The sequence below is a fragment of the Homo sapiens genome, chromosome 18 (assembly GCF_000001405.40).
Source record: "Homo sapiens chromosome 18, GRCh38.p14 Primary Assembly".
NCBI lineage: Eukaryota > Metazoa > Chordata > Mammalia > Primates > Hominidae > Homo > Homo sapiens.
In genome coordinates this window covers 62,319,237-62,331,672 of record NC_000018.10, presented here as the reverse complement: position 1 = coordinate 62,331,672, position 12,436 = coordinate 62,319,237, and the positions used below count along the sequence as shown (strand labels likewise).

The window sequence follows — 12,436 nt, the reverse complement described above, 5'->3', positions numbered from 1 at the left end:
CACACCTGCCTCTGCTCTGATGTGACTCTCTGGGGATCACTGGCTGTTTATCTCTCTTCAGTGTGTGTTAAGAGCTCTGTCTCTACGCTGAACTTCTCATTCCAAGACATCTCTAGGTCTGGCAATGGCTCTCTAGATGTCAGAGCCTGCAAGTTCCCTGCACAGCACAATGCCACGGGGCTTTTACCATGTTTGCCTCTACAGGGTCTAATGAACTTTGTCTCTGCCTCCCAATAAGAGAACCCAAAAAAGGGGAGATTCAAGAGCCTAAACGTAATCCTTCTTTTTTGTTTGGGAAAAACAACAACACTTCTTCACTTGAACCAGAACAACATTTTGATTTGGACTAAGACAGCAATTTCCTTAATAAAGTGAAAAATATAACCCAAACAGCCAGCTTTTTTGTCCTGACAGCTGCCGTGTCTTATTTATTTATTTATTTATTTACTATTTATTTATTTATTTACTTTGGGATGGAGTCTCGCTCTGTCACCCAGGCTGGAGTGCAGTGGTGCCACTCGGTTCACTGTAACCTCCACCTCCTGGATACAAGCGATTCTCCTGCCTCAGCCTCCCGAGCAGCTGGGATTACAGGCATGTACCCTCACGCCGGGCTAATTTTTTTATTTTTAGTAGAGACGGGGTTTCACCATGTTGGTCGGGCTGGTCTCAAACTCCTGACCTCATGATCTGCCACCTTGGCCTCCCAAAGTGCTGGGATTGCAGGCGTGAGCCACCACACCCGGCCTTATTTTATTTTTTTACTAGTTAAGTGAAGCAGTGGGAGTGGAGAAGGAACAAATAAATCTGTTAACTGGTTGTGATTAATTGGTTGTAAACACCATTGCACTCAGACCTGCCTGCCATGTCTTTTTTTTTCTAATAACCAGCCACATCCGTCCTTTGCCCCTGCACCTTCTGCCCCTGCACAGCCCCACTGGCTCTGAAATCGCCCCTGTACTCAGATTCTCCTTCTCTCGCCACTGCCCTGACCTGATTCAGGCCCTTTCCCAAACCAAGGCAGTAGGCTCCTTACTGGCCCCCTCCGGCCCGCCCCTGGACACTCTTCCCCTAATACACAAAACTGATCATGGCCCTCTCCAGCTCACAGCTCAATATTAAATCTGAACTATTTGCTTGTACCTAAAGCCTTTGAGTGCTGGCTTTTGCCTTCCTCTCTCCCCACACCCCTGAGTCCAGGAATCCTGTCCTTCCTTCGGTTCCCTGCAAACACTCCACTCTGATGCGAGTCCCTGCTGTTCTCACCGCCAGACAAAGCACTGGTCATTCTGGAACCCCCAGCCTAAGAGCTGTTCTCTCATGCGGTCTGCAGAGCTTTAGACACATGTGACCACACAGGAAGGATGGGAAGTCCTCTCTGACACTTTCAGGTGAAGGCACTCCTTATCCTGTGTGCCCACGACAAGTTGAAAACCCTCCCCAGAACACCGGATCCTGCTGTCTTTTAATCATCTGCACACACCTGGACTGCCAATCTCCTGAAGACAGGAGCTGTGGCCCTTGGTCTCTGTTTCCTCAGTCCACTGCAGAGTGTGCTACAGGTTGTGGGTACTCCATTTGTTGCAGTCACTGAATGCATTGAACACAAATTCAGGTTTATTTTCTCATTATCGAATGCTGTGGCCTGCAAGCAGTGACCCAAAGCACTCAAAGGCTGAAAGTCGACGGTGGCTCACAAAACAAACACACATATAAAGTCATCATCACACGGCCCTAAAGAATGTACTTCCCACTGCTGACTGGGGCTGCTTTGGGCTTCTTGGCGTGAGAGCACACTGCGACTGGAACGTGACACAGTGAGAACAGCAGCACCAGTCAGCCCTCTGACAAGGAGCTTCTGGTGACCCAGGCAGACAGGCAGCCTGCCTGGGGAGCGCTGCCAGGTTGGTCTCGCAGGCAGGAAATAGAGTGTCTCTCAGAATCAGGACAGAGATATGGGGCTGTGCGTAATCTTGCTCCACACCCACTCGGTTTTAAACCTCAAAAGTTCACTAAGAACTTCAGAGGGATCAAGGCTATTTTGCTGAAACCCACGGCTCCTTCTTGGTTCTTTCAAGCTTAGCGTTTTGGGGCACAAAGGGTGAGCTGAACTTAAACTGTGTTTCCAGCAGTGGACACCATAGAAAGCCCCACACTGCAACTAGAGGGAAATACACAGAAAGGCCGTCCCACAATCCGGGCAGAGAATGAAAGGGTACTCAGAGGAAAAATCACCTGCTGGGCAGAATCCTACCCATGCCAGTCCTGGGGTGCACTGAGCTGGAGTCAGCAGCCTGTGTGCTCAGAGGCAGGTGTGCTTCCCTGTGGACTAAGGCCAGGATGCTGTGAGGAGACAGCAGTCAGGCCATGGGCCACCTGGCCAGGGGGCAGATGCCCTAGGGAGTGAACCACCTGGACAGTTGCGTACCATCAGGATGGGCTGCAGACTCACATCAGCCAAAAAAACAAAAAACAAACCAAAAAATGGCCTAGACAACATTCCTAGAGACCACTGGATACAGCATGTGGGAAAAACACTATTTTTTTTTCCATGAACTTCAAAAATAGGAAAATACAATGGGGGAAATTTTAATATTGACATGGCAGATGAAGTCCACACTACCCCTTCTTAAAACAACACTCTTTGCAGAGGAGGCCCTGCTTTGGAACTCCCCTTTTCATGTCCTCATAAAACACTGATTTATTGACCTCCAAAGGCACATTTTTATTGTTTCAGTTTTCCTGATGTAAGAAGTTCTGGTAGATAACTGAAAAAGCAAGCTATTTCCTTATCAACACAGGGAGTATGTTCCTATTACAGGTTTGCCATTTTAGGGGGAAGTGGTAGAAAGGAAATAACAGGGGAGGCATTTGAAATATTTCTCAGCAAAATGAACTGTAAGCCCACAGATCTGTGTCTGTGCTCCCCAAACAAGGCATGACTGCATATATCCATGTCTCCCCTCTCGGATGGGATGGGGGGCAGGAGGAAAGGTGGCACAGAGCACCCACCCACCCTATGACCCAGAGTCACACCCTGGGGGATTTCTTCGGAGGGGTCTCCCCATGGGCGCTCCAGGGCCCTGTGGCCTGCTTCTGATTAGTCGACTTTACCACCTCAGTAAGGGCCATCCAAGAGTTACCTCAAAACTATAAAAGTTCAATGCCCAATTTGTTTGGTGGGGGTTTCCTGAATTAGGTGATTTGTGCTATCTGCAAGGTCATAAAAATATATGGTTGTTTTTTTTTTTCTTTCTTTCTGTAAGATTCTTTTAGGTCTAAAGCATTCACACCATCCTCCCAACATAGGGAGCTTTCTTCCCACCTCCTAGAATCATTTCTTCCCTGACCTCTGGTTTCCCACACATCTTTCCAAGACCACTTGGGAAACCCCTTCATCCCGAAGTCCTTAGGGATTCCTCCAGCGGTCCTCCCTCCCTCTCTCCCTCCCCTCCTCCCTCTCTCCCTTCCTCTGCCACCCTCTGTACTTTTCTTATCATTTGCTGCTCTCTTATCATCACAGCTTTTCCCATCTGGCGCTCTCCACTAGACTGTGACCCATGCGCCTTCCCCTTATTCCTCATTAGCACAGTGTTTGACACCACCAATGTCTGTTGTCCTGCGTATGCACGCACCTGCTCTTGCATCTTATAACCCCAGATAAACATGACCGTGTACAATCCATTACCTTAATGAAAACAGTGTGCATCTATATTTTGTTACCTGGAATAAACAGCAGGACTAGCTACATAAAAATTCAAAATGTTTTTATCTGTAGGCAAATAGTTTTATTCTATCTGAAAATGAATTCCCTCACAAATACAAGCAGGCAGAGATATAATCATAGAAATGTTTTAAAGGGCAAAACTTATAGCCTTTCAGGTAAGTTTGAACCTATTTAATATAATAAAAATGAAACTAAATACGATCCCTACAGATAAGGCACTTTCTGGAAGCCATTTATGCCAACTATTTTGCAAAACCAATTTACCCACTAGGCAGTTCCTGAAGTCTTGCCTGGTGTTTGATCATTAACATCTTCAATGAACTGTCAATGCCATTCCTAAATTTTGAGCTAATGGAATAGGCTGGCCAAACAAGCAGTCATTGAATACAGAGAGAGCTTTTTCCTAGATAACCACAGTATCTCTAGGAAATATTATTTTAAGGCTGCATCTAGTCTCACCTTTGAGAGAAAATGCATTTCTACTGGGAAGGTTGGGCACCAAGTAAAATAAGCAGAAAAGCATTCCAATGTCACTTGATTGTGAAAGAGTTCAGGAAATGCCACCCCAAAATATGCCACTATGGTGTGCTGATTATTTTGAACTCAGGGCAGGTGGTAGTGGCCACGGGCAGAGGTTTCTCTGAACTCTGCCCAAAGAAAGATCCTCCAAAACGAACTCAAATGTCTCAAATCTCCGCCGTGGGAATCTTCTCACCCAGAGAAGATTCTCACCCAGAGAAGATTAACTCCGATTACAGGAGAGGAGACAGGAGGTTGACACCAGCCCACACAGGCTCTCACCTATTCTCCGAAGGGCTGGTCAGAGACCATTTTTATTGCCTGAGAATCTTTTATGTGCCTGACAAGATGTCCTTTACTCACCATATGCTTCCTCCCCAAACCCGCCCCAAAATCTGTTTTGCAGCACCCTGCAGAAGCCCCTATGGATGCTATAATGAGCTTCAATCATCTGACCCTTCCTCAAGTCTCTTATTTTGTAGGAGTCCTGTGCCTATGTATGTAATTAAGTACAGTTTTTCTCCTGTTAGTCTGTCTTATATCAATTGAATTCGTGGCCCAGCCAAGGAATTCATAAGGTTCCTAGAAGGTTCGCTCCCCTAGAATTGGAAATGACCAATGCAAAAGTTTACATTTTTAAACATGCATAATGAAAGGGGCTTAAAGGCAAAAAGACGGGAAACAGCATTTGTTGAAAGGTCTCCCTGAAAAATAAACTTATTTTGATAGCATTTGTTGTTCATATTAGAACCGAACGCCTTTTATGCACATATGAATATGTCATTTTGCGACAGCAGTGAGAGATAATTTTGCAACTGCGTGGTCAGGCAGGTTTTTCTTAGGTGGCTAGCTGTTCGCTGAAACCCTGGTCCTTTGGTTCAAATAAGGTAGCACCCCGTTCAACCTGTTGAACACTTAATTAAGCAACACCTGAAGTGCTTAAAATGAAAAAATCCTTTAGACTTTTCCGCCTTCGTTTCCCTCAACCATACTGACAGACCCATACAATTGGGAATGAATCTTCCCTAGAATCTTTTGCTTCAGCCTTCAGTGCACCCACATTATTTCTGTCAAGGCTTTTCCCCTCTCTTCTCACCCAAACACGATTCTCCATGCGTCCCTCCCCACGCCTCTCCGGGTTCCGTGCCCGGCTGCGGAGGGACGGCAGCAGCCTAACCTAGTGTTAACAGAGGGGAAATCTGACCCAGCCGAAACCAAGAAAACCACCACTCGCCCTTCCCTGTGAGAGCTTTCAAGTTCGTATCAACGATTTTTAAAGCGTTTGTTGTGCTGGGTGTGCTTCCCTCTGCGGCCCTCCTCCACGAGGCAGAAAGTCCGTGCCTGGCTGCATTCGCTTGCTAACTGTACTGAGAAACCTGTTCCGAGAGGACCGGGAAGCCACTCGGGTCTGCGAGGGTCAAGTCCAGCATCCCCGGGGCGCGCGCGCAGTCTCTCCCCGCCGTGCGGGGCCTCCAGGCGAGCTGGCAGGGGTGTCCCCGAAGGGGCTCAGGGGAGGCAAAGGCAAGCCCGCAGTTCAGGGACGGAGGGAATCATGTCTCTTTCCGGGTGGAAATTTGGGACGGAGGCCACCCGGGAGAAATCGTATCGGGAACGGTTATCTGCCGCAAGTGAGGTGCCCACGGCGCTGTCTCCCGCGGCACCGCCCGGCGCAAGCGCTTAGTAGGTGCTCAAGAAGCATTTGGAGAAAATGACAGCATCAAAGCCTGCGGCTAAGAGGGGCTTTTGGAAGAGCCCGTTTCGGGTGTTGCGGTCCCGCCAACCTGCTCCTTCTGCGCCCCAGTTTCCCTCCGCTTGCCCTTTCCCGCCCTCCGCCGTCCAACTCTGGAAGCGCCTCCCCAGCTTCCCACGGCCTCCGCTCCCCAAAACTCCGGCTCCTCTCGGAAGGCGGAGGAGCCAGGATGCCGCCGGCCCCGGCCCTTCCCGGGGCTCCCGAGGAGGCGTCGGGCCGCGCGGCCCGGCAGGCGCGGGCGCTCCTTACCTGCAGCCGGGCGAGCAGCGCGCAGAGCAGCAGCAGCGCGAACAGCGGGCGGCGCCGCCGGGCGCGCGGGGCCATGGCGCGGGACAGGCTGGCGGGCGCCGCGGCCTCAGCGGCCTCTGTGGCCCAGCGGGCGCGGCTGCCGCGGCCCTGTGTGGTCCCGCCCCCGTGCCCCGCCCCGCACCTGCCCCCGCGCCGCCCTCCTGCGCCCCCCTCCGGCCGGGCCCGGCGGTGCCAGCCAGGTGGTGCCCAAGCTCCCCTGGTTTGCGGTGGGACGCGGGGCCCCGCTCGGGGAGGGGCCCCGGGGGTGTTCGCCGCGCCCGGTGCCTCCTTGGTCCGGTCTCCGCCCCTGGCCCAGGTGCTCGGGCTGCAGACAGGTTGGCGGGAGACCAGCCCTGGGTTGCCCTTCACGGCACTGGCTCCTGCCTTGCCGCACCCCAGGCCTGTGGGCCCCGCCTCCCGGGAAGGAATGGGGGCATCGGGGTGGTCCTGCTCCTGCCCCGCGCGCCCACCCTTCGAGGCCCGGCCTTCCGAAAGTGGATGCGCCACCGTCGAGAATGAACGGGAGGAGGATCCTTCCTGGAGATTTCGTCGACTGCAGTTAAGGCATCAACACAATACACCATCCGCCAATCTTCGTAAAATACTCCTCTTGTTCTTTGCTTCAAAATGTTGGGGCCAGCAGCCACTATCTCTTTTTCTTCTCCTGATCCTCTGCCTCCGCCCCTCACCCGTCCTGCACCCACCAAATTCTAGAAAGGCACCAGGCTCCGCCAGCCTTGAGGCGTCCCCCAGCCCCCATCACCACATTGGCCCTTTCAGACATAAAGTGGCCAGATGTCTGGGGCACAGTGTTACCTAAAAACTGAGGTCCGTTCTTCTGGTGCAGTAAGGCCAAGCCATCCGCACTAAGGTTTGCACTGGGAGAAAAGAGGGCGCTTATCTGCAGAGCTCCAGGCAAGGAGAATGGGGCAGCTCTTGCTTAAATCCTGACCTTCAGTTGGCTTGCAAGTAAGGATTTTTAAACGCAGGGTTAATTTCAAGAAAGCAGAAGTTACAGGCAAAATCATAATACACGGAGGTTGCACATTGGTTTGGTCTAACAAGCTGGGATATCTTGAAAATCTTTAAAGTGAGGGTGCTTATAGGTTATACATTCAAAGATTTTCTGACTTGCCATCAGTGAAGGAAGAGAAGCTTTGTTAAAAATTTGGGGTCAGCAAAAATGAATGTTAGCTCTGGCTCGTGGGTGTGACTTCCTCCTTGCCCTTCAGGAAGAAATTTAGAAGAAAGAATGGTGGTCAGTTCCGTCCTCATTTCCCCCTTGTCTGAGGTCTGCATGCCAGTGGATCTGTTTTGTTGGGGGTCTGGGTTTCTGAGAAACAATTCAGGGACATATGTTAAGATGTTATCTTTCGTTTCTATAGGGAATCTAACTTCCTTGGTTATTGTTTTAAGCTATAATTACCTTCTTGCTTATCAAGTTACTTATTTACTTCTTAGGGCTAGCTAGGTACCTGGAATTTCCCTTGAAGGAACTCAAGATTTTCCTTTATTTCCATGCTTAGGGGTGCTCCACAGGCTCCTAAGATGGGTTCCTGCTCCATCTCAATAGCATCCTGTTGTTTTTGTTTGTCATTACTTGCTTAGGATTGTGTCTTTCCTCACATTCTAGGTCGATGTTGGATCCATACGTATAATCCCTCCTTTGTATCATGTATTAGTCCGTTTTCATGCTGCTGATAAAGACAGGGCAATTTACAAAAGAAAGAGGTTTAACGGACTTACAGTTCCATGTGGCTGGGGAGGTCTCACAATCATGGTGAAAGGCAAGGAGGAGCAAGTCACATCTTTCCTGGATGGCAGCAGGCAAAGAGAGAGCTTGTGCAAGGAAACTCCCATTTTTAAAACCATCAGATCTCATGAGACTTACTCACTTCACAAGAACAGCACGGGAAAGACCTGCAGCCATGATTCAATTACCTCCCACCAGGTCCCTGCCACAACACGTGGGAATTGAAGATGAGATTTGGGGTGGGGACAGAGCCAAACCATATCATAAGGTAACTGTTTATATGAAGATACTTGTCCCATGCCAATAGAATATAACCTGTTTTGAATTCCTGGATTGCCAGAACTATTCACTTGCCTTACTTTTAGCCCAGCACATGGCATATCTTGGTCAAAATTCCATGTGCACTTGAAAAAGCTATGTATTTTGCTGTTGTCAGTAAAGTACATTATGAGTGTCAATCAGGTCAAATAGGCTGAAATATCCATACTGATTTTCCGTTACTTGTTCTGAGAAAAAGTGTGGAAATTTCCAACAATAACTGTATTTGTCTATTTTTCCTTTTATTTCTGTCAGTTTTTTCATATTCTTGAAGCTCTACTTAGAGGTATAAACATTTAGAATTATTATGTCTTCCTGATGAATTGAGACGTTTATCATTATTATATGTCTTCCTTGATTGGTGGTAAAATCAAATTCTCATGTCCACTTTGATATTAATTATATAGCCATTTCACCTTTCTTATGAATAGCATTTAGATGATCTATCTCAATCTATCTTTTTACTTTTAATTTATCTATATCATTTAAAGTGACAGCATTACATTTGGCTCTTTTTTCCCATTTTACCCATTTTGACAATCTCTGCCTTTTGATTGGAGTGTTTAGATTGTTCACATGTAATGCGATTATAGATATGGTGAAGTTTAAGTCTACCATTGTGCTATTTTTCTATTTTTTCCATCCGTTTTTCTATTTGTTCCTTTTTTTCCTCTTTTCCTACTTTCTTTTGGTTTGAGCATTTTTAGGATTCTGTTTTCTCTTCATGTTAGTTTGTTTTATATGCATCCTTGTTTTATTATTTTGGTGGCAGCTCTGGGTTTACAATGCACATCCATAATTTATCACAGTCTACCTTCAGATAAAATTCTGCCACTTTCTCCCTCCCTCCCTTTGTGCTACCATAGTCATACTACTTGGCTGGCTTTTTAACTCCCTACTGTACAGCCTAATTGGTGCACTGCTGAGTTGCTTTTGTGCTTTTTAGAAAGTGATCTGGCAGTGTTGATTTTAAAAATTAAAAATTGCAAATATCATTTGATGAAGCAATTCTGTATCTGGGAATCAAACATATCAATACATAAAGAAAGAGACAAAAGGATGTTTAGTATAGCATTTTTATAAAACCACAAAAAGAAAAAATGTGAATAGCTGTTAATATACAAATGGTGGAAAGTATTATTGCCTATCACAGTTTTGAATATAATGCAGCTACTTAAGAATATTATGTAGTTTTGGAAAGATGTTCATGATTATGAAGTAAAAGAAGTAAGTTACAGAGCAATATCATCCCATGTTTCTAAAGAACCGTAAACATGATTTTATCTATATAAGCAAAGAAAGTTTCTAGAAAGGATAATAGGAAACACTAATAGCATAGTCACACTTAAAAATCCATTTAATCCTCACAACAGGCGTGTAAAGAGTACAATTACTACTTCCATTTTACAAATGAGGATACTGAGGTACGGTGAGATTAAAAACTTACCTGGAGTCACTTGCCAATCAGTGGCAGAGCTGTGATTCCAATCCTGGTTCTCTGACTCGGGGGTGGGAGTCCTGCTTCACTAAGCACCACATTTTTAACATCAGGTGAGCGGCAGAAGGAAAAGGAGAAACTCACACTTTTATTTTTGATGTTTCTAAACTATTTACATTGAGGAAAATGCACTTTTGCATTTTTAACTGGCAGTTGTGTAAACTTGGTAAATAGATGTTAAAACTCTAAATGAAGTAAGTACAGGAATGGTCACAAGCACAGACAAAATAATACTGAATTATCTAGTGTGTCGCCATCTTCAATGAGGAGACAGGCTTTCTGGGAAAAGCACGGTTAGGAAAGCTAGATGAGATTATTATTTTGCTAAAAGGAACTGACTTGTGGGAGAAGGTACTTTCACCGTGGCACTTCATGAAAAATACCAAGGCTTACTCCTGGCACACTTCCAACATTACCCCCTTCTATTTTCTAAGAAGAGTAGGGGACTTAAAACTTCTGCTTGGAAAGCCCCAGAGGTGAGTGTGCTGATTTTGGAAGCACTTTTGAACAGCAGAATGCCTATGTTAACACATTAAATCTACTAATAATTTAAAATTTTTTAAAATTAAATTACTCTTAAAGATATCTCTACAGAACTATCACTCAAATAATTCCAATATTTTATAAATATTAATGTATAATACAATACAATAATAAAATCCAAGAAAATAGGCTTGAGGATGTTATCTTTCCTATACATAGAGCATTATCATGAGAAACATGGAAGTAATTGATCTCAAATACTGTTTTTCTATATTCACTGAAGAATAAACACATAGCTAAGGTGATTGCTCTCATTTGCAAAAACTAGTTTCAATGTTGTTTGTGATTTTAAAAACCGACATTTGGCGGGGTGTGGTGGCCCACGCCTGTAACCCCAGCACGGAGGCCAAGGTGGGTGGATCACGTGGGTCAGGAGTTGGAGACCAGCCTGGCCAATATGGTGAAACCCCGTCTCTACTAAAAATACAAAAATTAGCCGGGCGTGGTAGTGCACACCTGTAATCCCAGCTACTCAGAAGACTGAGGCACAAAAATTGCTTGCACCCAGGAGGGCGGAGGTTGCAGTGAGCCGAGATTGCGCCACTGCACTCCAGCCTGGGTAACAGAAGGTGACTCTGTCTCAACACACACACACACACACACACACACACACACACACTTATAAGCACATATACAATAAAATTTAGTTATATGTAACAAATGTAAAAATATATTTTAAACAATTTTCAAAATTAAAATATTTTTAAACAATATTTAAAAATATTAGCTTTAATATTTATTAAAGCTAAATGTTTTCCATTTTTAAAAAGTAATCAACTGACAATGAACTTCTTTATTTTCTCTGGGGGAAAAAAAGAGCACATTATACCTATTCAGGAATCATAGATTGATATGAAAACTCTTCTACATGGATAGTGTGCACCTCATGCTGGAAATCCCCACTTCTCAATTCTGCACGAAGTGTTTGGTTTTCAGAATTAAAAAAGTAAAATGAAAATGTAGCCATAATTTTTGTTTCTAGTGGATGGCTTGCAAGGATTATCTTACGTTTTAACAGGTCTTCATTTAAGCACCAGAAAGCACAGGCACAATCTTGTTAATGAGATGCTTATCAATCGCAGCAAGAATAAGAATTGTTCAGTTTATGTATTTTTTTCATGTGGTGCTATATATATAGTTGCTGTTACTGGGTATAGAGCTAAAGAGAATACATAAAAGACTTAAATTAATTATGCAAACATAAGACTTTACGAATCTTGCATATAGTGAAAACTTATTAATAAATAAAAATGTTTTTATTACCTACCTGTAATTTTTTTTTTTTTTTTTGGACAGAGTCTCGCTCTCGTCTCCTAGGCTGGAGTGCAGTGGCATGATCTCGGCGAACTGCAACCTCCACCTCCTGCGTTCAAGCGATTCTCCTGCCTCAGCCTCCCGAGTAGCTGGGACTATAGGCACGCGCCACCACACCCAGCTAATTTTTTGTATTTTTAGTAGGGACGGGGTTTCACCATGTTGGCCAGGATAGTCTTGATCTCTTAACCTCGTGATCTGCCCGCCCAAAGTGCTGGGATTACAGGCGTGAGCCACTGTGCCCGGCCTTTTTTTTTTTTCCCGAGACCCAGTCTCACACTTATCTCCCAGGGTAGAGTGCAATGGCGCGATCTCAGCTCACTGCAACCTCTGCCTCCTGTGTTCAAGCGATTATCTTGCCTCAGCCTCTGAGTAGCTGGGATTACAGGTGCACGCCACCATGCCCAGCTAATTTTTATATTTTTAGTGGAGATGGGGTTTCACCATGTTGGCCAGGCTGGTCTCAAATTCCTGACCTCAGGTGATCTGCCTGTCTCAGCCTCCCAAAGTGCTGGGATTACAGGTGTGATTACTGCACCCAGCAACCACCCTGTAATGTTTTGTTTTTCCTCTCGTATTTCCTAGTAGTAAGAAATATATATATTTTTTTTACAAAGGTAAACCAATGATAAATTTGTGTTGACTCAGAGATTAATCAAGGTGCAACACTATCCCATAATAATACCCAACATAACATGAAAACTTTTAAACTGTATACATGACACC

General features: G+C 45.6%; 1 protein-coding gene across 7 annotated transcripts in view, besides 2 other annotated features; it reads right to left on the bottom strand.

Moving 5' to 3' along the window:
* Positions 1 to 6,363, bottom strand: part of TNFRSF11A (TNF receptor superfamily member 11a) — a 65,979-nt gene extending 59,616 nt beyond the window's left edge. For all 7 annotated transcript variants that reach the window (XM_011526245.3, XM_011526244.3, NM_003839.4 and 4 more), the window contains exon 1: positions 6,246 to 6,363. Coding sequence is in view for 6 of the 7 variants with exons in the window: in XM_011526244.3 (XP_011524546.1) it covers positions 6,246 to 6,320 (75 nt within the window). In the remaining variant the exon portion in view is untranslated. The remainder of the gene's footprint in view (positions 1 to 6,245) is intronic.
* Positions 6,272 to 6,471: a silencer, noted in NCBI's record as "silent region_9505". NCBI's record gives its function as "represses an Ori minimal core promoter by ATAC-STARR-seq in GM12878 lymphoblastoid cells {active_cell/tissue: GM12878}" and the evidence as "EXISTENCE:reporter gene assay evidence [ECO:0000049][PMID:35858748]".
* Positions 6,522 to 6,731: a silencer, noted in NCBI's record as "silent region_9504". NCBI's record gives its function as "represses an Ori minimal core promoter by ATAC-STARR-seq in GM12878 lymphoblastoid cells {active_cell/tissue: GM12878}" and the evidence as "EXISTENCE:reporter gene assay evidence [ECO:0000049][PMID:35858748]".